This window comes from Homo sapiens, chromosome 3 (assembly GCF_000001405.40).
Source record: "Homo sapiens chromosome 3, GRCh38.p14 Primary Assembly".
NCBI classification, from domain to species: Eukaryota; Metazoa; Chordata; class Mammalia; order Primates; family Hominidae; genus Homo; species Homo sapiens.
The window spans coordinates 24,219,586-24,247,289 of NC_000003.12; the positions used below are offsets into that span (position 1 = coordinate 24,219,586).

The following is a 27,704-nucleotide window of genomic DNA, read 5'->3' on the forward strand; positions in this document are numbered from 1 at the left end:
GAGTAGAGCATCACTAATTACATTTCAATTTGCCCACCCTAGGTCAGGTTAGGCCTAGATTAAAGGGTAATATTTTAGATTTTTTTGTAGGTACTCAGATGGCCAAACTAACATTTTCTGTGGAAAAAACAAAACCCTCTACATCAGTGATTCTCAAACTTCTGTGTGCATCAGAATCACCTGGAGAGCTAATTAGGCACAAGAAAAGCCAAGGCACTTGTCATTAGGTAAGATGGTTGGATAGAACTTTTTTCTTTTTAAGCTAAATTTCCCAGTGATTCTGATCCCACCACCAAGTTTGAGAACAACAGCTCTTTCCTTAACACCAGATGCGTAGCGGAATCACTTGAGGAGTTAAAAAAACAAAGCTACCAGAGGTTTCACCTTACACCAATTAATTGGAATCTCTAGGGGTGGGGCCCAGACACTGGTATTTTTTAACAGATCTCCAGCTGATGTGTAATAGGCAGCAGGGTTGAGAACCACTGTGTCCCACTGGGTTGTACTTTAGAATTACCTGGACAGTTTTAAAAGAATGCTGAGTCTTGGGCCCCCACCTGGAGATTACTATTAAACTGGTCTAGGATGGCATGGACATCAGGACTTTAAAAAGCTCCTAGAGTGGCCAGGTGTGGTGGCTCATGCCTGTAATCCCAGCACTTTGGGAGGCTAAGGGGGATGGATCAGCTGATCCCAGGAGTTTGAGACCAGCCTGGGCAACATGGCAAGACCCCATCTCTACAAAAAATACAAAAATTAGCTAGGTGTGGTGGTGAGTTCCTGTAGTCCCAGCTACTCGGGAGGCTGAGATGGGGGAATCACACGAGCCTGGAAGGTGGAGGTTGCAGTGAGCTGAGATCATTCCACCGCACTCCAGCCTGGGCCACAGAGTGAGACCCTGTCTCAAAAAGAAAGCTCCCAGAGGGATTCTAATATGCAGCCAAGTTTGAGCAGGACAAACTTAGGTCCTCTTTCAAAGAGAGGGATCAAATTTCTGGTCACCTGGCTGTCATTTTGGAAACTGAAGTTGTTCTAGAAGCAATTGTCCGAATCTCTAGGAGTTTTGAGGGAGGTTTTTGCTAATCTGACTAAATTTGCTGAGATTTTATTAATTTGGTCTCAGCTTACTAAAAAGGAGAAGAAAGAATGCTTAATACATCTTCCTTGGAAATGCAGCATGAAAAAGACAAAGAACTTCAGTCAAGGTTAAACAAAAGAAAAAAAAAAAAAGAAAGAAACATAATCACCATTTGAAGCCATTTAACCCACAGTTTCCCAGTCTTTGGGAACTGATGGTCCAAATACTGAACAGTCTGCTGTGGCGGCCCTGGGCAAGACACTTCACCACATTGGCTTCAGCCTGCTAATGTGTGAACCATGGCTTAGAGAAAATGACTCAGTTCAGTTACAGAACCAAGACAAGAAAGCATCTGCACTCTGCAGGCTTGGGGAACTGGCATTCCACACTAGTTTCCTTTTTACAACACAGCCAGATTCCAGAGCGAGAATGTCATCATAGCCAAGACTTGAAAGAAAAGCAAAGATGGATAAAACAAGCGCCTGGGACTTTTCAGATGGCAATGGTGGCAGGTGGTGGTGCCGTATAAAAATAACTCTTGGCTCATTGCAAACAAAATAACACCATATAGTCATTAGAAACCAAATTCTGGTTGGGAAAATTGTTTTCTTTTGAAGGGATTTGCACCTATATATGTGCAACTGCTGTGGACTTTAGTGGCATTTAGGAGACTAGAGAGGAAGATACATCCCCACATAACAGAACCTTGTTAAGTTATAGCTGTTATTTGTGACTGTTAGGAAAAAAGTTAGGTAGAGATGTGCTGGACAGCTCTTGGTTACAGCAGGGCTTGCAGGAGACTGAGATGAGTTTAGCAGAGTGGTGATGGTGGGGATAATGGGGATGATGATGTGGGAGGCAATGATCATAGTGGAGGTTGGTGTGATGATGATTGTGGTTGGGGTATGAGAAGAAGCCAGCTTTGTAAAGGGTGCCTTCTGTAAAGGGTGACTTCTAGGAAGAATACAGGGGTTGCTGAGAAAGAATTTTTTTTTCACTCTTCTGCTCCCACCTTCTACTCTCTATAAAGTCTTGTCCTTTTGACATTTCAACTTCCTGATTACCTAGCTGCTCAAATTTGGAAACTGAAGTTGTTCTAGAAGTAATTGTCTAAGAGTTGCTGGGAGATTTGAGGGAAGGTTTTCGCTAGTCTGTCTGGATTTGGTGAGATTTTGTTAATCTGGTCTCTTTCAGAAAGCTCCCTACTTTTCTGTAGTAAGTTTCTCTTCCAAGAGAAGCTCAGGAAGTTAAACAGGAGGGATGAAAGGAGGACAGAGACAGTCAGAGCACAAGAGGACCAGTCCTTCTTCATGTAGCCTATAGGGCATCTTTTACCCAGTCATACCACATGAAGAGTTACCGTTCTTTGTTTCATGAGGAAAAAAGGAGCATTTGCTCTTGTTTTAAAGAAAAAGGTGATGTATTAGCTGCACAGAAATTCTTCCTGGTGGTCTCTTGATTTGCCCCTTATTATGGCAGAAACTAGAGAAACTCGTGAACTGAGGTGCTGGTCTCCTCTCTTCCCTAGTCTGGATGGAAGCCATGGAGTGATTTTCATCCTCTTCTACCAATTTGTGTGTGACAGGAAAAAAAAGTAAGATGACAAATATTTATGGTTTTCCCTTCCTTTGCTTTCCAAGGTAAGTGAGGTCCCAAGGAAGATCTGTTTATTTTGCTGAGTGGGGTTTTAAAAGGAAATACATATCGAGGAAGTGGAGAGAAGAGGCTCACAGTCTTGAAGGTGGAGGTAGTAGTGGGGAGAAGAGGGAGGGGAGCGAAGGGTCCAGATTCCTGACTGCAGCGGGGAGGGGAGGCAGTGTGTACAGCCGACTCATCAGGGTTTTAGCCTCTGGGGAGAGAGGGAGAAGAGGATGTGAGGTTTCAGCAGTTCCTGTGAGGCATGGATCTGTGGGAGAGATGTCTGAGCATGAATTTAAAGACTTTCTGTGTGATGTGTGTAATAGCCTCCCTTCTGCCCTCAAGGAATTTGGGGGAAGACAGATGCTTCCTTTCTAGCCTACTTGCAGTGAGATTTTTATTTCTTTTAGAAGTGACAGCATGCAGAGGGAGGAGCAAAAAGGCCCCCATCACATTGTGTGGTTAAATACTGAAGAAATAAAATCAAAGCTTAGCCAACAGTAGAGCTAGCTATTTGGGCTATTTTTCTTTCTGCCAAACTATTCATGGCAGCATTCGTAATGTGTATAGATGGCTGTATGGAATCCAAGGCCAAGTTTTATTTTTGGTCACATCTGGGGAGACAGGAATTCAGGAGAAATTGCAATAAACCTCCAGATTTCCCTTCAGAATGGCTATGCCAGGAGCGTGTCCATCTATCTAAAGCCTCCCAGCTCTATGGCACTGTGGGAAGCGGAGCCGAGGGTCGTGTTGGCATTCTGCATCGTTGCTCTCCTTTGGCTTCTGTTATTACTTCATCTACACCTGTAATCAGTCCTAAGGCCTGGGGATTGACTGTCCTGAGTTTGGGAGAAGGGACAGAAGGACCTCCACCAATCAGGTTTGCCCCTCCCTTGCCTCAGAGGCTCACCACTTTGTGTGAGTGTTTGGTGCACAAAGGTAACAATGCAAGTGTTAAAGGTAAGTATGAGAGAGAAAAATCCTCAACCTTAAGCAAGTCATTCCTGCGTCTAATTAAAAAGAACTACATGTTGAAATAAAAGTGCTAACACATTCCAAAGAGCCCATTGAGGTCTGTCCCTCAGTACTCATCAGAAGATATTACTAAGCTTGACAACAAAGAAATAAATCATAAATGACACCTCAATAGAACTCATTCTATATAAATTAAAAGCTTTTGTATGACCAAAAATGCTATGGAACCATATTTACAATTTATTTGTAAATGGTTTGAAATAAAAATTAGATAGAGATGGAAAGAGAGAGAAAGAAGATTAAAGCAAATGTGATAAAATTAACATTTTAAGACTTAGGGTAAAGGATGGCTTGAAATTCTTTGTATTAATTTTACAACTTTCCTGTAAGTATAAAATTATTTCAAAGGAAGAAAAATTAAGGTTAAATATTGCCATAAACAAAAAGAAGAGATATGTACTAAATTGAGAAAAATATATATACTGTTTAAGATAGAAAATGAATTAATTCCCTAATATCTAAATCATTAAGAAAAAGACAAATACCACAATAGAAAAGTTAAACAAACAGGTTAAGTTATAAAAGGTGAAGTTTGAGTCACCAATCAATGTGTGTGTGGGGGGGGTATATAGTCAAATTTATAATCAATAAGAAAAATATAAAGTTTTGAAAGGCTTGATACAATTTTGCCTAATAAATTACCTCCTCAAAAACAAAGAAATAGGCTAACTATACCAAAAATTTCTACATTTGGAGGGTATATACTTAAATGGAGGCTGAACTGCTGTTGGATGTCTCAATTGGTCCAATAATCTGGCTAAAATGTGAAAACAGAAAAAGTTTTTAAAGCTGTTCAGTCCCTTTGACCCATCATTTCCTTTAACATAGTAGAGTTTATCCAGAGGGAAATTATCGGAAAGATGCAAAATTATGTACAAGGCAGTTCATTATATATTCATCATGTCAATATGTAATAAATATGTATTCATCGTATATTATTTATAACAATATTATGTTAATAGCCTAATAATCAGGGACTATATCACCATATGATGAATTACTAAGTAGCCATGAACAAATCCCTTTGAGGAAGCGTGTTTATTGACAGCAGGAAATGTTAACAATATGTACAGTGTTAACATTAGTTATTTTTGAATGGTGTCATTATTTTGCCATCAGTAACCTTTTGAAACCATGGAAAGCCATTCTACGTAGGTTGTAGGACATATGCACCACCGTGAATCTATTTCTGAAGGAAGAAATGGCCATTAAGAAGCAGCTGAAAAACCTAAGGGACACCTGAAGGTCCACCTTTGAAAAATGGCATGGGCTTCACAATAAAATGCCGAGTTTTCCCAACTTAAATGTTTTGTCTGACTCTGAAAAGCTTGTTCAGTAGGACAGTCTCAAAACACAAAATGCACTGCCTCAGTGTTCACTTTTTCTTTATACTCAACCATCAATGTATGTATGCCTTACTTTATGAACATGTGATTTATAAATATTCAAATTTGAGAAGTGGAAGGGGAACTAGGGATGAACTGCTTTCACTTTCTCATTATTAGATAAGGAATTCAAGATCTAGGGAGATGACGTGACTTGCTTAGTTAACTTAGCAAAAGGAGACTCTAGCTTTGATATTCAACATTTAGCATATTCGCATCTCAGCCTAAATTGCCCTATGCTGTTGATCATGGTTTTATCCAAAATAGAGCTCATATATCCATAACACATAAACAGGTTCTACAATTAATGAGAAAAAGACAAAAACTACAGTGGGCAAATGGACAATCACTATGAACAAGCAAGTTACAGATGCAGAAATGCGAGTGGTGAATAAACATGTAAAAAATGCTCAACCTCAGTTGTCATAAGGGAAATTTTTAAAAACCTGGGTTGTTCTCAGTTTTGCTTAACACATGAGCCCTCCCAAAGCAAGCTCACAGGAAACAGTACAAAGATCACATGGTGGGAAATTTTGGGGTAACATCTGAAAGCTCCTATCTATCTTGGCACGCATCCCTTCCCTGCTACAGAGGGATACTCAAGAATAATGCCTTGATAAAGAAAATACCTTCCCACAGTAGGGAAGCTAAACAAACAAGCAAGTCACAAAGAAGTCCAAGTTAATAACTGAATGGGGAATACATTATTCACATTAAAGGCATCATAATAGAGTGACTTTAAATTACTGGAGGCCCAGTTTCAATGAAAACGTCAAGTACTTTGCCAGCTTTATGCCATATCCTAATATCATACAGCCAGGTTCAGCGCAAACATAATGGGTCTTTGTTTTTGCCTCTTCCAGCACAGTTTGAATTCTTGGTTTCCTGTTCAGTCAAGGCCAAAAGCCTCTAACTTTGGTATTTAACATTTTAGCTACTCATATCTTGGAACAAATTTCCCTATGCTGAGGATCACGGTTTTATTAAAAATAGAGCTCATTATATTGTCATCAATGTCAGCAGAATTTCCCTCAGATTATCTAGGAAGTGATGCTTAATTCCAGACAGATAAAATATTGTATCAAGGTACTTTTTTACTTCCTTCTTTAAGAATTGTATTTTTTTTCTTGTTTCTGCTGAGGTTGGAAGGAATCGCATTTTTCAATGAATGATTTCATATAGTCCTAATTTCAAATTAGGTGGCGTAAAGCAGTGAGAAAATTTTGGCAAGACCTGACTCTACTGTAGCTTATATTAAGTAACCTCAAAAAATAAACAATTATTCATTCGAGTTAGTGCAAAGTACATAAATTTAATAAGCATTGCGGTTGAAAGAGCCTACAAAAAACATGCCTCATTTATCTGAAAATGCTGACCTGTTCTGTTTGAGGAAAATAGATTCCATATTAACTACTGATCATCTAAAAAATGATTTTCTTTTCATAAGGGTTTAATTGATTTCCTGTGTTGAATAGCAGTAATATTATCTATTATGCTTTTCAAAGGAAAAATATGCACATTTGGCCTTTGAAGTATGCTCCTAGAGCAAGCACTTAGTTCTGACAGCTTATAACTTCATTATGGTCTTCCTTTGGGTTTCTTAAAACATGTACCCCTGAGCCCACTGCAATCGAAGGAGGGAAAAGAACATTGTTTTATCTCATACACAAACAAGGGCATCTAAAGTAATGATTTTCTCATATGAGCCCACTAACGTATACTGTACATGTATGTGTCTGGAGTAGGTTTCTTTTGAAAATAGAACTACAATTAGTTTCTCCACTATGAAGCAAATGCTGGAAGTGAAAACTCCCTCCTTCACTAGGAGGCAGCTGGGGTTCTGGCTCAGTCTGCGAGGAAAGCATCCCAGCTTCCACAAGATGGGCTGAAAAGCTGGCTTACCCTAGAGCTGTCTAGGAGTGGGCCTAGATTCCTAGCTCAGCTCTCAAGCTGACTCAGACCTGGGGGCTCTGCTCAGTAATGAGATGGTTTGTAGCTAGAAGAGAACTGCCTGGACCACCCTGGGCTCTAGAACAAGGGTCCACAAAGTATGGGCCAAAGCTGACCTGCTGCCTGTTTTATAAATTTGTAGTAAACCACAGCCAAGTCTATTTATTTACATATAGTCTATGGCTTTTCATGCTACAATGGCAGAATTGAGTAATTATGACAGACACTGTATGGGCTGCAAAGCCAGAAATATTTATTCACTGGCCCTTTACAACAACAATAAAAATTGCCAGCCCCTGATCCAGAGGAGCTGGAATGAATGGTCACTCTCCCTAGATGAACTGCACTGTACCTAGAACTAATCCCCACAGCAAGCGAAGACCATTTTATTACCTACTTTTACACCATGTTTTGCCATTTCATATGTCTTGGGGTATGTTCTTTGAGTCCAGATCTTTGGACACTTTTTCAGGTGGGCAAATTATCATGGAGTAGAGAGCCATCCTTATAGCACCTGCTCTCACACTGTCCTCCTTTATCAGAAAGGAATACTGTCCCTCCATTTTGCAGCGTGGCTACCTGCTGTCTGGTATCTGTGTGCTCACACCTGCGTGTGCCTGCAAAGACTTAGGCCATCACTCCTCCTGACTGAGATTGCCATTCATCCCAACAGAAACATTGAGGCTGTAGCTAAGGTTGAATGTGTTGGTTTATGACGTAGAAGGAGTGCGATTTTAGTGGCGGAGAATTTGACCTAGTTGGCAGTGGAATAGATGTGGGAGTGGGTGCGTTTTGGTGCCTGTTGATGTGAAATAAGAAGATATGTGATTCCGATGCCCTCAGCTCCTACAGGTGTGAATCATTGTGATTTGCCCAGGCACCCCATCTTTTTGCTATATCAGGAGCTCCAGTACGGGTGGGTAGAGAGGCTGGGCAAAGATGCTGGGAGAGTTAAAGTTTATGGTCATTGGGAGGCTTCAAAACTTTTAGAAGGCTGAGTGGCAACTTTCAGTTGCTTCAGTTTCTCAGGTCTACTGGAGAATAAGTTCTTGGAGCAATTTGTCCTACATGTTTAGCTTATCATAGGGTGGGGAGGTGACATGAATAGATAATCAAAGGTCAGGCTGCATCCTCGACACACAGAGGTCTATGAGGACCTGCCCTGTTGCCATGGTAACAAAAAGGACAGTGGTGGACTTGCTGCTAGGCTGGAAGGTATATAGCTGAGGTCATAAACTCACAGCTCATGGGTTGATTCTAGTTAGCAGACATATTTCGACTGAGCCATAAGTCTATAAAATTTTTATAAGTTATTTGCTAACATCTAAAATTTGGGATATTTCATTTAAAATCCGAATTTCCAACTTCTCTTGCAAATTTGAAATCTCTGGACACATGGGGCTTCATTCCTTCTTGTCAGTGATTGCTTAGAGTGGGAGATGGCTTCCTTTTAGAGAGAACCAGAGTTCTCCAGCTTTGTTTACTTGTTTTTCCTTTTACCTAACCTTTGTCATCACTGGTGTTATCAGCCTATTCCCTGGCACCACTGAGTGTACAACCATCGCTCTATAAATTGCACAAAGAATTTGTGCTATTGCAACCTTGTATTCCTCCAAGGTCATTCTGCCTCTCCTTTGACCCTTGCTAAGAGTTTTATAACTGACTTATACCTTACATGACCTAATCATATTCCATTCTGACTCTACTGCTGAATGGAATAAACAGCCAACTTCTGAAAATATACACTTTCTGTGGTCACAAAGTATGTAGAGCCATTTATTATATTAATTGGAATGACTGTAAGAAGTAAACATACACCGGGTGCAGTGGCCTACTGTAAATCCAAGCACTTTGGGAGGCTGAGGTGGGAGAATCACTTGAGCCCTGGGAGGTTGGGGCTGCAGTAAACCGTGAGTGCACCACTGCACTCCAGCCTGGGTGACAGAGCAAGACCATGTCTCAAAGAAAAAAAAAAAAAAAAGGAAAAAAAAGAAAAGAAAATAGTAAACTTAGTGTGCAATGGCTAAAGGATGGCTAAAAATGAATAGTCATTTCCTCTCCATCACCTTTCTGGTGAGGATGCATCTTATATCAGAAGAAGATGGAAGTACATTTCTAGGGAGGTATTCACAGGATTTAATAACACTTATTGGTTTGGAAATAACGGTTGCTAAAACTCGCAAGTTAATCTTTAAGAATCTATAATTTCACTCTAGGTGGAACAAAAATGGAGGCACACAAAGAAAATGTAAAAAAAAAAAGATACCTGTCATACTGTTGGGAGTCATAGGTTAGTAATCATTCTGGATCCCTTTTTTCACTGACATCTCCTACAAGGAAAAAATACAAAAAAAATCACAGATTATAATCTGCATTTTCCATAATGGTTTTGTTCCAAACAATATCATATGCATTAATTACCTTGAAGCAATATTTGTTACTCTCAACTCAGAACTGGGGACACCGAAGCATAGGTGGGCTATGTGATATGTGTAAATTTGTAAGACCTCTTAATTTTCATCTCAGGGTTCCTTCTATAAACATGTTTTAAAAATAAATTTTTTATCAAGCGCACATTTTTCCATCTCAGATTTTTAAGAAAGCTACCAGCTCACAGATTTGCTGTTTATCCCAAGAGTGGCTAAGATGTATTAGCATCTCTAATCTAGATCTTGCTTCTCAAGGTGTGGTCTGTGGGCCAGCAGTCTCGACATTGCCTGAGAGCTTGTGAGAAATAGAAAATTTGGGCATCCCCTCAGTCAGAATCTGCATTTGGACAAGACCCCCAGGTGATTCATGTGCACTTTCAAGTCATAGACACACTGCCCTAGAGAACTGAATCCATATTCTCATCTGCCCATTTATGACTTGTCCTAGTCAGAGCTGAACTCCCCACCTCACCACTACCTTAATGAGATCCAAGAGCAACAGTCAGACTTGGCCCTCAGGCTGGGGATGGAGGCCTGGTATGCATCAGTGGCCAGAGGTGCACTGACCCAGGGAAGAATGCCAAGGAAGGGTGCACCCAGGATGACACAGATGGACACTGGTGGGTGATGAACCTGGGTCACAGTCCTTCAGCATATTGCCGGAGACAGATTAGGATTAGCTTTCTTTTTCTGGAGTGTGTTCTGTGGCCAGTGGTAGATGGTGGTAGCATTTTGGCTTAGGAATAGCACTGAAGCCTGAGGCATGGGCTTGAGGTCCAACGTTGTAATATACTACTAGCTGTGGGATCAGAGGAAGTAATTTCAAAGCACTGGAAACACGATTTCTTCAGTGTAAGATGAGGAAACTAATACTTGTCCCACTTATTTCACAAGGCTGGTATTTCTGAGGTTTGAAGATGCTGTGAGTGGAAGTGCTGGGTAATCTATAACGTACTGTGCCCATGAAAGGGAGGAACAATCTTGTTAAATAACTGGTTGGAGAAGAAAAAGAACGAGGCAGAGGAAGTGTGTGGATTATGTTTACAACACAGATTTATACATAGCCATTCATGCTCTGTCTCCACATCTAATGCTGCAGCAATGACTTCAAACCTTGATCATACTTCTTGTCCCATTCTGTGGAAATTACATGTTTACACGGCTGCCTTTCCCACCACACTGTAATCTCTTTATGGCAGAGACTGCCTTTCTCATGTTTATATCTTCTACACTGAGCGGAATGTCAGATACATAACAGGTACTCAACAATATATGTTGAACAACTAAATAAAATAAGATGAATGAAGTTGATATAGCATAGTGTAAGCTGCCAAATTGGCACCTGATGGAGAGGATGAGTATTCACTGCTAGGAAAATGCATTCTTGCCTCTGATTAGCTCGTCAAGGGTCTCTACCACAAGCCCTTTGTCCCATCTTTGTTCACCTGTCCAGCAGCATTTTGAGTGAGAGGCACCAAGTTCTGAGCTGCTGTAGGTGAGAGCACAGGTCGTACCTACAGTATTGCGGGTCCTGACTCTGTTGCTCCTCTTAGAAACTGTGCTGCCATTAACCACCCCCTCTGAACCCATGGAAGCTGCCATGTTTTCACATGCTACCACTCCTGAATATTCTAAAGAGGTGGAGGAACTTGGCTTGGACTGTGCCCCACCTCTGGCAAAACTGGCTTAAGACTTGAGCTGGACTAGTAAGATGATTTTTCAGGGTGAAAGAAAGGGAGGGATTGAGGGAGAGAGAAAGAGATATTATCTAGTTCCTCTCTAGGGACAGAATTTATTAGAAGTTAAAACTCTAACACTGAGACCATATCTCTCAGCCACCTGGAAAAAGTCCATTTGAAGGTGAGAGAGAGGATCCATCTGACATTCACAGACAGCCTGAAGTGGAAGGAGAAAGCTGTGGTGTCTCTCGGCTCTTCCTGAGGCCCAGCTGTATCCTCTTCTGCTCCTCCAGGGATTTGGCTATTCAGCCCTTCCTTGGATGCCCTCAGTAAAATATTACCCTTTTTACAATAAGCTGGTTTGACTTAGGTTTCTGTCACTTGCAACCAAAAGAATCCTGACTGATAATATTAAAATACAACATTAATACAAATGTGTCAGCATAGTTTTGTATGCTTTTTATTGTCTTGAAGGCGAAGCTATAAAATCCCAGTTATGTCCTTATGATATTATCAGTTAAAAATATCTTCATTTTCAAAATTCCAATTGAATAGGCATATGAACTATAGGAAATTATTGTGTGTGGGGCGGAAAGTATCTAGGAATGGAAAAAATCTTAATTCTATATAAGACTTTAAAAATAGTGTTATCACCACAAAATTTGGTACCAATTTTTCTGTTTAGTACTATTTTCCTTCAACTATAGTACAATTTAGTACTTCAGTATTTTAGTGTTACTGTTACTATATAACAGATATAGTATTACTAATACTATTAATAGTATACTAGTGTTACTTTTACTGTAGTATTTTGGTATTATTTAGTATTTAGTAGTATTTAGTACAATTTTCCTTCAGTGAGCTCTAGAGTTTTCAATGTAATTCCAGTAAAGCTTCTAACAATCCCCCAGGGAAGGCAGGTGTCCCGGGGCCTCCTTTCCTGGTCTCCTGTCCTACATGGTGGGTGTTGGTAAAATGCTCTGTACTGAGGAGGGGAATCCCAAGATGGTCCTTTCCACAGCCTTGGCAGAGGCCTGGAGCTCACCAGCAAATCATGGGATCAAAGGAGAAAAGAAAGTCCAAAAGAACTTAAAAGTAAAGCAAGCTGAGTTTCTTTATTTGCCAGGAAGGAAACAAAAACAGCGAAGGGCTTTGTAGGTCAGTGAGGAGGAAGGGTCAAGGAGTTGTTGAGTTAGAAAGGGGTGGCTACGCTAATGAAGGATTGACACCTAGCATCTGTGTGTCATTCATTAAAACATGCCCTGTTTCTCTCTGGTCAGGGAAGGGTTTTCAGTTAGATCCAGTGAGGGTCTGTGTACCACGGCCCTTCAAAGTCGATGGTCCTTTAACTGCTTCAACAGTTCAGCACTAGGGGAAGGGAAATGCCATTCCATTTAGTCTTCTAGGCAACTGCTACCCAAGTAGAGAATATCCCTTTGACATGGGTCATTCATTTGTTTGGTTATCGCGAGGCCTTGGTTGAGGCTACTCTGTTTAGGCAATGCCCTAGGTTTTGTTTAAAGACAACACTGTGGCCTGTCCACAAGCAGCTTCTAAACTAACATAGGGAGAGAATTGCACCAGATAAATGCAAAAATATATACAGGTTTCACCTTACCTGTCTCTTCAGAGTAGACTGGGGCCATGAGAGAAGGAAAGGTCATTTCTACTTGGGCTTATTTGGGGAGGATTTTGAGTGGAGGTGACCCCAGACCTTTAGGCCCTTCTTTCAAATAGACCTATCCCCAGGTTATGATTTAACCCTTTGTTCTCATCCTTGTGCTCCTAAGGCCCATGGACTACTCTGCAAGGAATGAGCTTCATACAGAAAAACTGGGTGGTGCCTTTACATTACGCAGGTTTTAAGCAGGGGTGTGATAAGACCCAATGTGGGTTTTTAAAGCTTTACAGCAGCTCGTGGGTGGAAAGCAGACTGGTCAGGCCACGGCAGGTCCAGAATAGAGAAAAAGGTGCTGGAACTTGAGTGGAGGTGGTGGAGATGGTGAGAGGGCTAGGTGTTTAAGTGACATTTAAGAGGTAGAAACAAGACTTGTGAAGAATGTGATATGAGCATTTAACACTGGGATAAACACTGCGGATGCAGATAGGTTAAGATTGGAGGCTCTCTGCCCTCAAGGAATTTACAATCCATTTTATAAGCTGGTTGGGAAGGAACAGCTAAAAATAAAAGTCACAGATGCCATGTGCCAAGGGGTGGTGCTGAGAATCATGCAGGTGGAGCCTTCCTCTGCCAGTTCTACCTGTTCTCAGCCCAGTGCTGTGTCCCTTAAATAAAGCTCATTCCACTCATTGGAAGAGTAGAAAAGCAGGCATTCACCTCTCAAACACACAAAGTGTGTTTGTATTTTAAAAATCCAAATGATGGTAAAGTTATTATTGAATCCTCTGAAACTGAAAAGTAAATGGAATTATTATCAACACTTAGTAAATAGGTCCAGGAACTTTGGAAGGCCTTGGGTTCCATGCCACACTGTGAACTGTGGCTGCTGCTAATTACTCTAACAGCATCTTGGGCTGCATGGACAGAAATATAGCCTGTAGCTGGGCACAGTGGCATGCACTTGATACTCTTAGCTACTTGGGAGGCCAAGGTGGGAAGACTGCTTGAGCCCAGGAGTTTGAGACCAGCCTGGTCAACATAGTGAGACCCTGTCTCAAAAAAAAGGAAAGAAAGAAATAAGAAAAGAAAAAAAGAAAGGAAGAAAGAAAGAAGGAGGGAAGGAAGGAAGGAAAAGAAAGAAAGAGAAAGAAAGAAAAAGGAAGAAAGAAAGAAAGAAAGAAAGAAAGAAAGAAAGAAAGAAAGAAAGAAAGAAAGAGAAAGAGCCTGTAGGACATTGGTCAGACCACATGTGGGCTGCTACATTTTAAGAAGGATGTCTCATGTACAATATCCTGGACGATGGAAAACGTATCTTAAGGAAACATTGAAGGAAACCTAGAAAAGGGAAGAGTCACATGAGGGGTAGAGAGTGGTCTTCAAATATCTGAAAAGCTGTCACGTGGAACAGAGTGCAGGCATGTTCAGTGGACAGAGAACGGGTGGAGAGATGCTGTTGGAGACTGCTGAGGGGCCTTTCCCTGCCCTGCCTGACGTCTAAGAAGATGCATGTCTCATAGGCTGGGATGGCCACACAGAAGAACACAGTCTCCTTACCTTGCACTGCTTTTTGCTCTCAGGGCATGTTAAGCCTCTCTTGAGATGACCTGGGTCTTTAAGCTGCAATAAAGCAGGCGCTGTGTGTATGAAATGGCTTCAGGGACAAGCTAAAATCCTGCTGCATGTCCCTCACTCCTTCAAATTCTCCTTTAAAGCTTCATTCTTTAGCTGAGTGATCTCAACTATTAGGGAGTGTGCTCTCCTCAAGAAATGTAATGAAAAATTACATTTCCATTTAATTATATCACTTGCCCCTCCCCTTGAAAAATGGGTAAGCCATTTGGTATATATTTTCAGAGGGTTCACAGATACTTTACACATGCAAAATCTACTCACAGCTGCCATATTAAGCTTTGGCTATGGACTTTGATCATTCTTAAAATGCAGATAGCTAATGGAAAAGATATAAGTTGATGTAAATGTGATCTAGTGAATAGAATGAAAAGGAGACACAAGAGCTATTTTTGGTTGGGAGCAAAGAGAAGAGAACCTACCAGCAGTAAATTCCTTTGTGGGTGGAAGATGAGTTTCTAAAAAACAAGCCTGGAGGCTGAAGAGGAATCCATCAACCCAAGGATCTGTCTAGGGCTGCCCCATTAATCCCATCAGACACCAACTCAGGCTTTAGATCATTCAAGATGAATTACTCATGGAGCCCACTCCTGCAAGGCTTAGGTGAAGAACCAACCTGTAACTCAGGGGCAGAAGAGCTGAACAAGAGGGATACAAGATGTGTTTGAAGGCACTGAAGAGACTGTAATTAATTACACCTGTATGAGGGAACCCAATGGTGATATGTGAGTTTGGCTTTGGAAAAATGAGCTGGGATTTTTTTCCACGCCAGGGATGAAAAGCATGGCTTAGAAGTACCAAAAAAGCCCAGGGTATGTGACTGCAGGAGCGGGGCAGGAAGTGACCATGAATGACACTGCAAATGTAGTTTCAGGCCAGATGGTGAAGAGTCTTGAAAGAGTTGCTGTGGAACTTGGGCTTTATCCTGTGAAAAATGGGGAGCCACGGAAGGTCTTTAAGCAGTGATCCAGTGTGAGAAAGGCAGCCCTGCTGCAGTGTGGAGGAGGCCTGCTTGGGAGGCTCACCCTTTGGTGGCACCTCTTTGAGTGGGATCATTGCTATTAGGTTGATGCAAAAGCAATTGCAGTTTTTGCCATTACTTCTAATTGCTTTTGTTTTTGCACCAACCTAATACTTGCCTGTCTCAGTATTCAAGGTCACAAGGCTAGACCAGTGCCAGAGAGAACACCTCCACTCCTTCTTGTAGAACTCCAGCACGCTTGCCCTGACCACACACCTTTGTCCCCTTGTGTTTCCTTTCTCTGTATCGAAACTACAGCACTGAAGGGGCATCTGTAAAAATTACCTCATGAAAAATCTTTCCACGTAGACCTGGTGAGTCATTGTTTATCCAACCTGTGCACTGAATCAAAACATGCTTCCCCTCACAGCTCATCATCAACCTTTTGTGGCCTTTTCAAACTGTCTTCCTTAGTTTTTCTTCTCCTTGGCTCTCTCAGGAGGAAGGGTAGCAGAGTGTCATGCAGCCTGATGTATCAGATGATAAGATTTAACAGGGCTCATCTATTAATACTTCAGCAGGTGCTTCATGGGCAGCCCAGAAAAGCCATGACTGACTGGGTTGGGGGCTGTGGGTTGGGGAACCTTCATTAGCAATTCTCTTGGTTCATTTTAAAAGGTCAGACCCATGAGTGTGACGTTATTACATACCCTAGCCCAAGACCATTAAAACTGGGAAGGCCTTCAGAGAAGGACATATCCATCTTCTCACCTAGCATTGAGCAAACGTGACTAGATGCAGAATCAGTGGACATGCTAGATTTCCTAGGAAGTTGCCGTGTAAGAGGGGGGCATAGCTTAGGGATGTGTCTTGAAGTTGTGTTTAGGTAGCAAGCAACTATTTTTATGAAGTTTATTTGGTATTGTGGGGTGCTGGGTATGACTGGAGTTCATGGGATGGGGCTGAACCCCTCACCCCACCCTGTCCCCACTTGAGCCTTCCCACAGCTCTGTCTGTGGCATCTGGAAGCACAGCTGAATAAATGCAAATGGCTGTCCCCCTAGGTGGGCTGCACCCATGCTAGGAGGGCAGTGAGGCTGTGGATCTCTTGGGGGTAAAAGTGGAGTTTCCCCTTCTTTTCCTTATCCCCCTCATAGGAGGAGAGGGAGAGCTATACATCAAACCTTTGACTCTGGTATTTGGGGAATATTTTAAAGAACAAGTCCAATCCCAGGTATGGAGGAAAGGCTCCTGGACTGGGCGTCATTCCAGATGGCTTTGGGTCTCAGTTTAGTAGTTTGGGGATCATGGACAAGTTCCTTTAACTCTTCAAGCCTCATTTGTAAAGATAAATCACAATTCCTGCCCTCTCAGGATTATGCTGAGGACCAAAGCAATTGGAAAATGCCTGTAAATTTAAAAGGAGGACACAAATGTAAGGTATTGGGAGACTTCTTTATTATTATAGGCATCATCATTATTATAGATGATCTCAACTCCTGGCCAGCCTCAATCATCCCAAAGGCATGGGGGAACTGAAACTCTTGCCTGGTCTAACTTTAAGCTTACCTGAGGTCATTTAAAGACTCAAGAACAATACAGAGCCCACCTCCCCAGATGCTGTCATTACAAAGATTAAAAGGAGGTGAAATTGCTTCTCCTTCACCTGCCCTGCCATTTTCCTCTTGCAAGGCTGAATTTTTGTGAAAAAAAATTTTTCCCTTTCAAGGTTACTTTGCATGTTCATTTAACCTTGCTGTGGGGAGTAAGAAAGTTTGGACACAGAAATAAATTTGTTCCCAAGTCTATAGCATCCTGAGTGCAGCCCCAGTTATCCTTCCCCGAGCCCTTTGCATTTTAATATTAAATCTAGGACCCAATGAAGTGAATAAATAATGGTTGAATTTCTCATGATAGGAATCAGTTAAGAACTCAAATAGGAGAACAGAGGCAAGGTGTTTTCAAATCATACCACGCTGTGATCCACCTTTTGTATTCAGTAAAACTAACCCTATTTGGGAATGTAGTATCAAAAAATCAGTAAGAGAAAAAATATGAAAAGCTAGCGTAGTTAGACTGGGCATGAGCCTAAAGAGGAACATAAAACTCTGAGTTAGTAAAAATGTGGAAAACTAGTGAAAGCTCTGTCTGTACCGTATCCCAGGTATTAATCTGAGTGGGTCACCTCTTGGAGGGGAAGGCAGTCAGAATTTCTCCACTGGGTATGGCAGGAGACTCATGCCCCACATAACAGACTTTAGCAAATGACTGTTGAATGGCAAAGCTATACTTTTCATTTCAGATTTTCAGGCAGTCTCTGTAAGTGTTTTGCCGTCAGGAAGGGAAATAATTCAACCAGGGTCTATGGTTGAAACTGAGCTTAATTTGCTGTTGCTGATATTTCTTTTTATTCTTAGTAAAATAATTCACTTTTACTTCCACTCCACCCACTCTCTCAACTCCAGTTCAACAATCTCATTCTAGAGTTCCCCCTACTCTTTATGTTAGTCAATATCCAGGCCAAATCATTGTCCTCTTCTCTCTCTTCCCCTTCCTCTTCCCCTCTCCTTTTCCACCTCTCTCCCAGACAAAGTCACCATGGCATGTTACAAAGAGCATTGGCCTTGCCACTTAAATATGGGATACTGAGTCAGGAGTAACCATTCCTAAAATGGGAATAAGGCCGTAGCTCTCAAAGGTGACATTGGGTTAAGTGGGACGTGCACACTTAATCCATGGTAGTATTCTATACCCTTCAATGCTGGGTTCTGGGGCTACAAGCAGAGTAAAATCCGATTCCTGTGTTGAGGACTAGGTCAGCAGTGGCAGAGGTGGAATGGGCCTTAAAACAAACAAACAAAGCCCCCTGCAAATCTAAAAGCATCAACCACATCTAATTTATTGTCACATTGAGTGAAACATGGAGCACTTTTAAGCCAAATAAGGTAGTGATAGAAAAGTAAAGAAGAAAACAGCCAGTAAAAATTTTATGAGACCAACCTGAAAGGACCAGCTTGGCCACCTGCTGTTTATAGTGCGGTTTCCTTATGGCTGTCTTTCTCTACAGGTGGACTATCATCTCCGAACACTCCTAAGAAATGGAAGATAGTCTCTTAAGAGGACAGCCCAGAGGTAGTTTGAGGAAACGTCTGACAGCAGGAAAAACAACTTCAGCAGATGCCCCTTTGGCCAAAGCATGCTGTTAAAACTGACTCTACTGACACCTGGTGGAGAGTAGGGTAACTTCTCCCTGCTAAAGAGGGTGTGTGTGTATGTGTGTGTGTGTGTGGGGGGGGGGGGGGTGTGTGGGGTGTGTGTGTGATGAACGGATTGGAAACACATTCATCATGTCAGGGAAATTAATTCCTAAGGAATGAGGGTACCATGCAGAACCACCAGATGCCAGAATATATAATTGTGGTTAGGTGACTCACTGAGACACATGCATGAAAAACAACAAACAAGAATGTGAAAATAAAACATTAAGACTGCAGCAAATGATTTATTATTGATTTTTAAAAAGAGTTTGATAATGAGTAAGACAATAACAAACAATCCACTCCCTTCTGCAACCCTGGATGGTGTCATAAGAAAAGACTCTAGTACTTGACCCCTTGATAGTATCATCTGAAATTTAAAAGAAAATTCAATCTTGTCCCAGGGAGACAGTGTCTCTCAGTCTGAGCCAGTGCTCTGCTGCCTCTGGAATCTGCAGTGAGCTCCTTCAGATTTTTAACCCTGGGATAAAAAGAATAATCTTCCTAAATGGAGTGTTATGAAGACTGCTGTGCTCCTGAAATTCCCTTGAAGATGAAAATAAAATTATCCTAATAAATATAACTGTTTACTACTTCTTCAGTGTCAAATGGGGGGCAGGGGACATGGGGCTACATTGCAAAGCTCTTGCAGAAATTGACTTCGGAAACTTTGTCTCCATTCTCACGCATTAGGTTCTTTTTTTTTTTTTTTGAGACAGAGTCTTGCTCTGTCACCCAGGCTGGAGTGCAGTGGCATGATCTCAGCTCACAGCAATCTCTTTCTCCTGGGTTCAAGCAATTCTCCTATCTCTGCCTCCTGAGTAGTTGGAATTACAGGCACAAGCCACCATGCCTGGCTAAGTTTTGTATTTTAAGTAGACCCAGGGTTTCACCATGTTGGCCAGTCTGGTCTTGAACTCTTGGCCTCAAGTGATCTGCCCACCTCGGCATCTGAAAGTGCTGGGATTACAGGCGTGAGCCACTGCATTCAGTCGCACATTAGGTTCTTGTTTAATTCTGCTTGGTAAAGGTTCTGTTGGCTCTTTATCAGAAATTCCAGTGGCTTTCTGTGAGGTGTCAGGTGCATGGTATAGCACACACAGCCTGAATTTGTCTTTCAACAGTGTGTATCAAAGGTGATTTTCAGGAATGCACCAGAGCAATTAGAGCAATCATTAGTTCCAATTTGCAAGAATTAATCCATCATATTTGGGACACTAAATGAGAATTTACATCATCATTATTATTATTTGATGGAGTCTTGCTATGTTGCCCAGGCTGGTCTCGGACTACTGGTCTTAAGCAATTCTCCTGTCTTGGCCTCTATCATTATTATTTATTATTTTGAAAAATCACAGGAGCCTTGGTTAAGGGTTGTCTCAGGGAGCTAGGATGGGTAGGTCTGGGTAGGAAGGTTATAAAGGAAAGAAGTCCCTCAAAGATGCATATAGTTCTAATTTTCTTTCAGCTTCTCCCCTGCTAATATTTAAATTTAGAATGTGTATTTCCTGCAATGTGATGGCTTGAATGCATGATCCTGCCAGAATGTGTACAGTTAAACTATACCTGGGGACAGTCATGCTGTAACAGAGATTCCCAACTTTCTCAGTGTATGTCACTCTTAGTGTTTCAGTAATATTTTTTACGGTGACCCTAGGTCAAAAGAAATACTTAAATGCCCTGTTTATGAAGTTATGAGGTCCAAACAGCTTGACAGGTGGATTTGCATGGTGTCTGACAGTTGTTTCTGGGTTTCCCTCAAAAATTAAAAACATCCCACTGTATTTCTGTGGGGTTGCTGTGGTACCCAAGGTGCTCTGGTACAGATTTTGGGAACCATGGCTATAACAGCTTTGAAAATCAGTGAAAAGTCTAGAAGTGTGATTTGCAGTATCTCCTTTCACCCCTCACTCTTTGTGAGACCATGGCCACAACATTTGACCTAAAGGTGCCATTAAAAAGTTTCATACAGCCAAGTGAGTCGGCCTGGCTTACCACTTGGTGTGGAGGATATGAGAAAGAGACACAGAGTGAAGTCTTAGCAGGATTTAAGGCAGTCCTGGGAATAAATCAGGCTTGGTTATTATTCAGTAGTTTACTGAGCCCGCGTCAAATGGGGAGGCTGTGACGAAGAATCTAAAAAGTAAAAGAACACAGCCCTTATATAATCTGAGAAGAGGATGCAGTAAGTCAGATTATCACTGGAAATTACACGGATGCCAACCATAGCTGAGAAGCTGGCTAGATACTGAACACTTCACATTCTTAGGTGAAAATCAGACAAATGAGCACAAGATGTTCACCATGTTGGAAGAGTTGTACGAATACCTCAGTAGATGAATAAATGACCGGTTGCCTGCATTCCAATTCTGTGCTGCTTCTGACTTACAGGTAGCAAGGAGCTACCTATAGCATAAGCTAAACTAGTGTCTTTCAAACTTTGGTGAGCATGTGAAGGGTTTGTTAAAACCAATTGCTGGGCTCCATTCCCAGAGTTTCTGATTCAGTTAGTTTGGGGTGCCTGAGAGTCTGCATTTCTAACAAGTTCCTAGGTGATCTGGATATACTTTCCAGGGCCCACATGTTGAGAACCACCAGCCTGATCCATTTAAGAACATGTTGGAGGAACTAAGGTGCCATCCTGGTAGGCTGTACTCACTCAACACATGGCAGGCACCCCCACCTTTCCATCCTGACCAGCACACGGTCAGCCTTCTCTAGAATATTTCCAGTGAACGGCAGCTTACTCTGGCCAACACGTCCAGCTGTGTTGGTGGACTGTGCCCACTGAGGGCCACTTGCATTTTAAATGGGCACACCTGAATTTGGGACGCTCAACTCCTGTGGCAACAAAACGGCAATGAGACACAATGGGAAGGGGAGTGTACCCATTGGGCACTTTGATTTTGTATTTTCCAAAAGATTGGCTTTGCACTCTGCTTACTTGTAAGTATGGGGCACAACCACACAGGATGCAGAAAAAGCATTCTCAGTTCTCAAGGAGGGGTTTTCACGGCAGAATCATCTGAGGAGCTTTGCTCACCGTCTCCAGGCCTGGGCCCAATAATGCGTACTTAGAAAAGCCACTCAGGTGATTCCACTGAGACCTTCTGCTCATGGGAGAAGTGCTTGAGTTTGAGCGTGGAGACAGGTCACCCTACTGTCCTCTTAACCCTACAGCCATTTGCTCTGCCACTGCGAGGCCACATGTGTATGTCTTACTGTATTATGTCCTGCTCAACTTCCTCAGGCCTACAGAGAAATCTATTCTTGTGCCTCTTGTCACCCTTCCTTGGATGGTGGCAGTCATGGCCAGTGTGATCTATCCAAAGCACGTTGCCAATTAACACTCATTAGCTAGGTGCTAGAGAACAGATCCAAAAAGGGGTACCTGCTATTGCACCAACAAACCAAGTGCACCTTTCTAGTGGACTTCTGTATTGAACCCTCCTTGCCTGCCCCTTGTACTTATTTTCTTAGAGCGGGGTTCTCAAAGTATGCAGGCAGCAGAATCAGATCACTTGGGAACAAGATGGCAATGCAGATGCACCGCCTCTATCCCAGACCTAATGAGTTATAAACTCTGAAGGTGGGGTTCGGGTCCTATGTTTCTGATGCACACTTGAGTGTGAGAACTACTGCTTTATAGTATTGGTGCACTCCCCTGCCCATCGCCACAAATTAGAAGGTCTTCAAAAGGTAGGGACCACTCTCCTTCCTCCCCCCACAAGTTAGCACACTGATCAGTGCATAGTAGGAACTCAAAAAACATGAGTTATTTCTTGAAGCTAGGGCAGCTGTACTGCCTGCTCACAAGAGTGAATAAACACTCCCTTGGCGTGCCACCTCTGAGAGGTTGCCAACACTGGGTCTAAATTATCTCCCATTTCTTATGGGTTGTATTTTCCATATTTACAAATCAGCTTTCCCTAAATCCTCTCCAAGTTTTTTACATTCTTTTCAGCTCAGGAAGCCAAAAACAAGATGGCATGTTTTAGCCAATGTCTGTTTCCTGCTGGGAGGGGGAAGGGCATTTCTGCATGATTCTTAAATTCCATGCTCCCAGCATGGTGATTATTTTCCGAACAATAGAACCAGATTGCTGATTCATGTTCGGCTCACGGCTCCAAGCATTTTTTTTTTCCTGCTGTACTTGTACCGATGCAACACAATAATGTTCTATTCATCCCTCTGAATTAGAAATGCCAGCAGCTCAGATATGCAACTGAAGAATCCCCCCTCCCCTCTGGCTTATTTAAAGCCTTCCCACAAATAACACATTTTGAAATATTAGACGGTGCTCACTTTGAGCCATTTGGCTTGGGCAAGGACAGTTAAACCTTATTTTTTTCTCAGCTGCTCCTTGCACAATGCCTGGCACACTGTCACTATTATTCTTAAACACTGTTTGTTGAGTGAATCACATACCTTCTTCTTGAGGTTCTAGCCTTATCCTTCTCTTCTGCCCTAATATATTACAATAAGCCCTTTCTTAGGTGCAGAGAGAAAGCCTTGCTCTCACATTCAGAGGCTCGTGTTTGCATCCAGCCAAAGAATGAGATTGACCTCAAGGTCTGATGATCCAGGTGGGCTCCAGCCAGCCCCATCCCAGTTTGCACACTGTCTGCAGCACCAGTCCTGCCACTGCTATAGCAGCAAGATTTTTGGCTGCCTCTCAGCACAGCTTTGCCAATGAGCAAGAGGGGTCATCTGTGGGGTTTTGTTTCCTAGCTGCAAAGTCAAATCAGGGGGACTACTTAGTGCTCTGAAAGCTCTCATGGTCAACCTGGCTTTCACATCAAAATCACCTGCGCACCTTTGAAAAAAAAAAAAAAAAAAAAAAAAAAATCCCAGTGCCCAGGTGCACTCCAGGCCAATTAGTGTCTGTAGCTCAGGCCTCAGTTTGTAAAGCAGCGTGGGTGATTCTGATGCCCAGCCAAGATTGAGAGCCACTTAGGTTTAGAGGCCCTAAAGTAGCCTCTGAAGTAGTATCCAGGGGTCTCCTGCATCTGCCCTTGCCCCTTCTCATCTCTGTTTAAAATGGCATTCCAACAGGTAGGATACGATTCCGCTCCTGTCACCCCTCTGCTCAAAATCCCACTGTGGCTCCCACAAGGATCTGCCCCATCTGCCTCTCTGTCTCTCCTCTCCCAGTTTCAGCTTCACCAACTCCTTCCTCTTCCTCGAACGTGTCATATGTGCCCCCTACAAGAGGGCCTTTTGCGTCAGGATTTTTCCTTGCCTGAAATGCTCATGCCTCCAACACCTGCTTGGGTCCCTCCCTCACCTCCATTAAGGGTTGAACACCTGAAGTTCTCGGGATGCCTATTTGAACATCCCAGTGCTGTCACCTGCCCCTTCCCTGGGCACGGCGCTTCCCAATACCCCTTATCTTCCTCTCCTGTCTCTCTTTGCCATAGTACTTAGTGTCTTTTAACATGCTGTACATTTTACTTCTGTGCTTTGCTGCTGCTGTTGTTGACTGTTTTTTCTCCCTCTGCTAGGAAGTCAGCTTTACGGGGACAGGGATCTTTTTCATTCTGTTCACTGATGACCCCAAGTGCTAACACAGTGTGTAGTTCATAGCAGGCCCTTAGTAAATACTCGTTAAATGGAGAACACCCTTGTTGGGGGTGCTAGGGACAGGTGCTGAATGGAGGAAGGGAGGCCCAGTGACACAAAAGGAAATAAATTTTCTCAAAAATGACAGATTTTGAGGAAACACTTATTAAATTCTAATTATGAGGAGTTGCCAGGCAATGTCTAGGTTAAAAAAAATGCACACTATAGAGACAGGAAGTGGACGAGTGGTCAGCTAGGGCTGGGTGGTGGGGGTGAGGGATTGGTTTAAGGATGGGGAGTGACTGCTCATGGATACAAGGGATCCTTTTGGGGTGGATGAAGGTATCCTGAAAGGAGACTGTGGTGACGGCAGTATATAAATGGCTGTAAATACACCAAAATCCAGTGAACTATATATTTTCAATGGGTAAACTTTGTTATATAAATTACATCTCAATAAAACTGTTGAAAATACACACCTAACTGAAGCATCATACAGGGTGTTAAAGACAGAGCTGAAAAAGAAATAGGCTATTATTATTTCTTGTCAGGCATGTGGATTTTCTCTGGCTTGAGTTTTGAATTGGGAGTGAGAGAGAACCTTCCTTATCTCTCATTTGCTGCCAGAGACATCTATTTATTGGTAAAGAAATGTAATTGAAACTTCTTGATCAAGGCCTACCTCAAGAGCAATTTATTTGGATTAAATGGCTTTCCTTAATAACTTCCACATCTATCAAAATTCTGCAGTCTTTTCTAGGCCTCCAGGTCAGTTTTGGAAAACAAGCAGCTACTTTGTATGAAACTGAACTTTGACACTTTTGAACTTATAATGCCAAGGAAAACTCCAGGCATGTTGACATCAGTACCATCTGCTGATGGGCAATTGCTCCACACAAACAGAGCTCAAAGTGTCTGTGGCAGTGAACTGAGATGTTGCTTAGCTAGCAGCCCTGTGAATCTTCCTCCCGAGAACTCACTGATGTTATGGTAATCTAATAACATATATGGAACAATAACAGCACATTGCAATGAAAATGCTGCATGGTTACAACTCAATGAAGACCATTCTCCCTCTTCTGGGAGCTTAACAGCATACCTTGTTAAGCTGTGAAGGGGGAAACTTTCTTTCTGCTCTTCTGCCTGTTTCTCTGCTCAAAATCTTGACATATGCCCATCAGTGCACAAAGGGTCTGTTTGAACAAAGGTCAGGGGGCTATCCAGAGTCCTGGCTTCAACCTTCTCTTTTGGGAATCCCTAAGATGTGAGCAACGTGATGATATGAGAAGACTCTTGGGGACTGCTGCTATGTGTCTGGAGAACTCCTGAGGAGGACACAGTCACTATGCCATTAATAATTAGAATGTTTGAATGAATGGTAAGTTTTCTGCTCATTGATGAAACAGAGGGCCAGAGGACTGAGAAACTTGCCCTTTGTGACCCAGCTGGCAAGGGGAAGAGTTAGACTGCCAACCACAACAAATGCTTTTAACTGCTAAGCCATTCTGCATCCCACCTGCAAGGTGCACATCACTCAGCTGGGTGCCATGATGGGTGCAGAGATGACTAAGCCCCACCCCTTTCCTTCTGACAGATATTGACTGGTAGAGAAGACGGGATGTGCACAAACAATTCTAATTAGGGGAGGCTGTATTTAATACTCTGTCAGAAGTGCAGAGGGCCATTAGTGTGTGTGAAAGGGAAAGAATAACAAAAAAACCCAACTTTACAAAACATGGACACTCCACAGATTACCATGCCTCCCCGCACAGGGACCACGCCAATTTTCTCTGTCAAGATCCAGCTATAAACTGAGGGCCTGGTCAGGTGCAGTGGCTCACACCTGTAATCCCAGCACTTTGGGAGACCGAGGCGGGCAGATCACTTGAGGTCAGGAGTTTGAGACCAGCCTGGCCAATATGGTGAAACCCCATCTCTACTAAAAATACAAAAATTAGCCGGGTGTGGTGGCACGTGCCTGTAATCCCAGCTACTTGGGAGGCTGAGGCAGGAGAATCACTTGAACCTGGGAGGCAGAGGTTGCAGTGAGCTGAGATAGTGGCATTGCACTCTAGCCTGGGCAACAGAGCGAGACTCTGTCACAAAACAATACAAAGCAAAACAAAACAAAACAAACAGAGGGTCTTTCATAATGTGGGTTACGTAAAGTGTAGTTTATTGGGTTGGTATCATTCTGACCATGCAATCTGGATGCTTGGACAGAATAGCTACATCAGCTTGTTTTAATATCATTTGTACATGTGTCCCCAAAGAAGATAGCATGTCCCTTACGGAGATGTTGTAGGAATTAAATGAGTTCATGCAAGAAAAGGGCTTAGGATAGTACCTTGCACATAGTAAGTGCTCAATAAATGTGAGTTGTTATTGTTATGCATAGTTAAGCCTAGGTTCTGGATAACTGAGTATTGGGTACCAGAGACCTAATTCCGTAGGGTCCTGGTCATTTTGTTACACACCAAGAGAAGAGCTGGCATGTGAAGTGTGTTCCTTTCATGGGGTTTCAAGAAAGAAGGCAGTGGAACACTCACTAAGTGCCACTGCTGCCTACTGAGAACTTGATTTACTTCATGCACTGGTTGTACGGTTGCAGTTTTTGAAAAGGGCATGGTATTGATATTTCTCAGTGTGAAATGATTTCTTATATAATAGTTGGTAACATTAGGAAAGAGTGGGATTTCTATTCTCTAGCATGATACTGAGTAGAAGAGATTTAATGACGGGATAACCCAGTTCTTTGGGGGCAGCAGCATTTGCATAACTGACTCTTTTCAGCAATTCTGCAACAATTAATAGGAACCATTTGATGTCTCTGTTGGGACTTCAACTAACGCTTTCCCAGTGAGAGAATATTTAGAAGAATATTTTCACAACTTTACTTTCCCTCAAAAAATATAGTTTTGATCCCAAAATGATAGTTTTTATAGGTGTAATTTGGAATGCCTCAGTTGTACCATCTCTAGAGTCAAGAAAAAGTTTATCATAAACAAGGCCCACTTAATGACTAATTTTTGTACATGAAAAGGAAAGACAGTGGATCTTGGTCATCAATTTGTATTGTTGATTTTACCTACTATAAACAAACATGAACTATTTCACTTTTCAGAAAAAAATTCATGTAATTTGAAAACAAAGATTACCAGAGAAAGAGGAATTAATCTCTTTCTAAAATGCCAAAGAAATATTGCGGATCCCATATGATATGCTTGAATGTGTTTCTGGAGTCACTTCTTAGCTCCATGGCAAAGGCCAACTAGACAAAACGTGGCTCTTGGCTTTGAGTAGAAATCTACAACAAATGTAAAGAGTTTCTATTTGTTGTGTTCAATGAAATTGAGTACAGAAAAAAGAAAATAACAATACTTCTTTATGATGAATAAATATCTTAATCACCATACATCTTACACATGTGTGCACGGTTTCCTAAAAAGTAAGAATAGTAATGATGATAACAATAAAGGC

At 42.1% G+C, this 27,704-nt stretch overlaps 1 protein-coding gene across 53 annotated transcripts in view; it reads right to left on the minus strand.

Annotated features, from left to right (window-relative positions):
• Positions 1-27,704, minus strand: part of THRB (thyroid hormone receptor beta) — a 378,556-nt gene that overhangs the window by 102,433 nt on the left and 248,419 nt on the right. For 42 of the 53 annotated variants that reach the window (NM_001374822.1, NM_001374823.1, NM_001374824.1 and 39 more), the window contains one exon: positions 9,353-9,416. The exons of 4 other annotated variants lie outside the window; for them this stretch is intronic. In NM_001374822.1, coding sequence (NP_001361751.1) covers positions 9,353-9,374 — 22 coding nt within the window. In that variant the 5' untranslated portion in view covers positions 9,375-9,416. Of the gene's footprint in view, positions 1-9,352; positions 9,417-18,405; positions 18,497-27,704 lie in introns of all 53 variants that reach the window. 7 more of the 53 variants (NM_001374825.1, XM_047448799.1, XM_047448813.1 and 4 more) reach the window with 1 other exon arrangement.